The following is a 2,384-nucleotide window of genomic DNA, read 5'->3' as shown; positions in this document are numbered from 1 at the left end:
TAGATAAATAGATACATACACACACATTTAAACAGAGTGTATTTTGTTCTAATCATTTATTTTTCATCTTTTTTTGATAGAGCACATAATATAAAATTTGGATTTTATAATTTCTCCTTATAGTTCTATCATTAGAATTCATTTTTATAGTTCTTCATGATAAAGTGTACTCTTCGTAATTTTCTAGTTTCTGCTTTCTTTTCAAAGAAATTGGTATAAATAAGTTCTATTTTCTCTCCAGTAATATTTTATACCAGTTGCCTAAACTGTGAACTTCTTGAAGGTAGGGTTACCTGATGCACCCCTGGGTTGTCAGTGCACAGGAGGTAGGCAGGGCAGTGACTGAAGCACAGGAAGCAGTGACACTCATCAGCCATCATCAAATGGAATAACATAAGCGGCTGATCGAAACTAGCTGGAAGGAAATTGCAGTCATAATATCTGTAAGCATGTTGGGTTTTTTTTTTAATGTTCTGCCCTTTACACCTATCATTTTATGAACATTTCTCTATACCAGGGGTTGGCAAACTTTTTCGGTAAAAGGTAAGATAATAAATATTTCAAGCTTTGTGGGCTATTTGGTGTGTGTCCCGAATCCTCAATCCCGCCATTGCAATGAAAAGCAGCCATAAATGAGTGATCATGGCTGTGTTCCAATAAAACTTTATCTAAGAAACAAGTGGCAGGCTGAAAGTGCTGACCCCTAGTTTACATCATTAGATCTTCTATAAAAATGGCTATAAGATATTCCAGGCTGTGAATATTTTATGGTATATTTCACAAATTCTCTATTGTTGCACAGTTAGACAGTTTTCTTTTTCATTATTAAAAATAACATTGTAATACGAGTTCTTAGATACGAATGTGTTTGTGTGTTGGATTTTTTTCATAAATTGTGATTTATCTGGCATGTGATAGATAATACATATTTATTGAATGAATTAATTAACAAATTTCTATTGTAGCAAGAACACTTCACTGGGTACTATGGATAGAGATTGAAATGAAGATCAAGTTGGCTTGGAGAAATTCACACTCAAGGGAGAGAGGGCAACTTTGTTTTCCAGCTGTGTGGCCTTGGTCAAGGCACTTACTCCTCTGGGCCTCACTTCCCATAATTTAAAAAAAGGAAATAATACCTTCCTTGGAGATATGCTGTTAGGCTTGGATGACATCAAATGTGACTGCCTGGCAGGAAATACCTGGGAGAGGGTGGTTTTAAGAAGTCACCTTTACTGGGCTGACATTGTGTAATGCAGTCACATTTTCCATTATTATTCAAAACCTTGCTTGCCCACAGCAGGAATGCTTTGAGGCCATGGCCTAGGGGTCCTTGGAAATTTACAGCAATTTGCATAAATCTGCATAGGGAGCGTAATGCCTGTAGTATCATTATTGTTAAGTTACTCAGGTCTCAGCTTTACACGTTATACATAAAAAAACACACTTCCGAATTCCCAGCTTACCTCCCTAGGCATAGACCAGAAATGTCAGGTCAGGGATTAGCATGCTCTGGACAAAAAGGAACAATAGTTTATTTCTAGAATTGTGTGTTCCAAATAAGCCACCAATTAACAACTAGAGTATGTTGTACAATAGCTGGAACTCAAATATGCCAGGAACAAAATACTGTAGATCTGTCACTAGGTCATTTATTGGTAGAAAAAGCTGAAATGAATTTTCTAAACCAAGAAGGAGTTATTCTATTATCTTTCTGTCTATTATATAAAGGTGAACTATAGGCAATACAGACAATAAAATGTGCTTCCCAGTTCTTAATAATAATAAATAGAATTTGTACATTTTTTTCCCCAGCAGTTTAAATTCCAAAAAGGAAGAAATATCTTGGAAGAGCATTATAATTATGATAAGTAAATAAAAACATGCAGGACAAAAGTTTAGGACAAAAAAGGGTTTAGGATAGAGCCTGGCACATAATAAATGTGAAATAAATGATATTTATAATGTTGGCTGTGATTTTTATTTATATCACCAACTTCAAAATAAATTGCCTTGTAATAAAAATGTAAGTATCATCCTAATCAAAGTAGAAATAATACTGAGTACTTATGTGTGAGACATTGCTCAAAATACTCTGTATATATTAACTAATAACTCATTTAATTCTAAAAAAAATCTTATGAGATGGTAATTATTAGTAGCAGATGAAGAAACTGCGGTAGAGTTTCACAGACAAGAAGTCTCTTAAGAAAAGGTGCTGTGGCTCACACCTATAATCCCATGAGGCCAAGACAGGAGGATCACTCAAGCCCAGGAGTTCAATACCAGCCTAGGCAACCTGATTAGACCATGTCTCTACAAAACATAAAAAAAAAAAAAAAAAACCTGGATGTGGTGGTACACACCTGTAGTCACAGCTACTC

The 2,384-nt window shown here is 35.0% G+C and overlaps 1 annotated feature.

The window, feature by feature from the left end:
- Nucleotides 984-1,604: an enhancer, noted in NCBI's record as "OCT4-NANOG hESC enhancer chr14:99117229-99117849 (GRCh37/hg19 assembly coordinates)". NCBI's record gives its function as "activates a minimal SCP1, AML or CMV promoter by ChIP-STARR-seq in primed H9 embryonic stem cells {active_cell/tissue: H9 hESC(primed)}" and the evidence as "EXISTENCE:reporter gene assay evidence [ECO:0000049][PMID:30033119]".

This window comes from Homo sapiens, chromosome 14 (genome assembly GCF_000001405.40).
Source record: "Homo sapiens chromosome 14, GRCh38.p14 Primary Assembly".
In the NCBI taxonomy this organism is placed as follows: Eukaryota; Metazoa; Chordata; class Mammalia; order Primates; family Hominidae; genus Homo; species Homo sapiens.
This window is presented reverse-complemented; position numbering and strand designations above follow the sequence as displayed.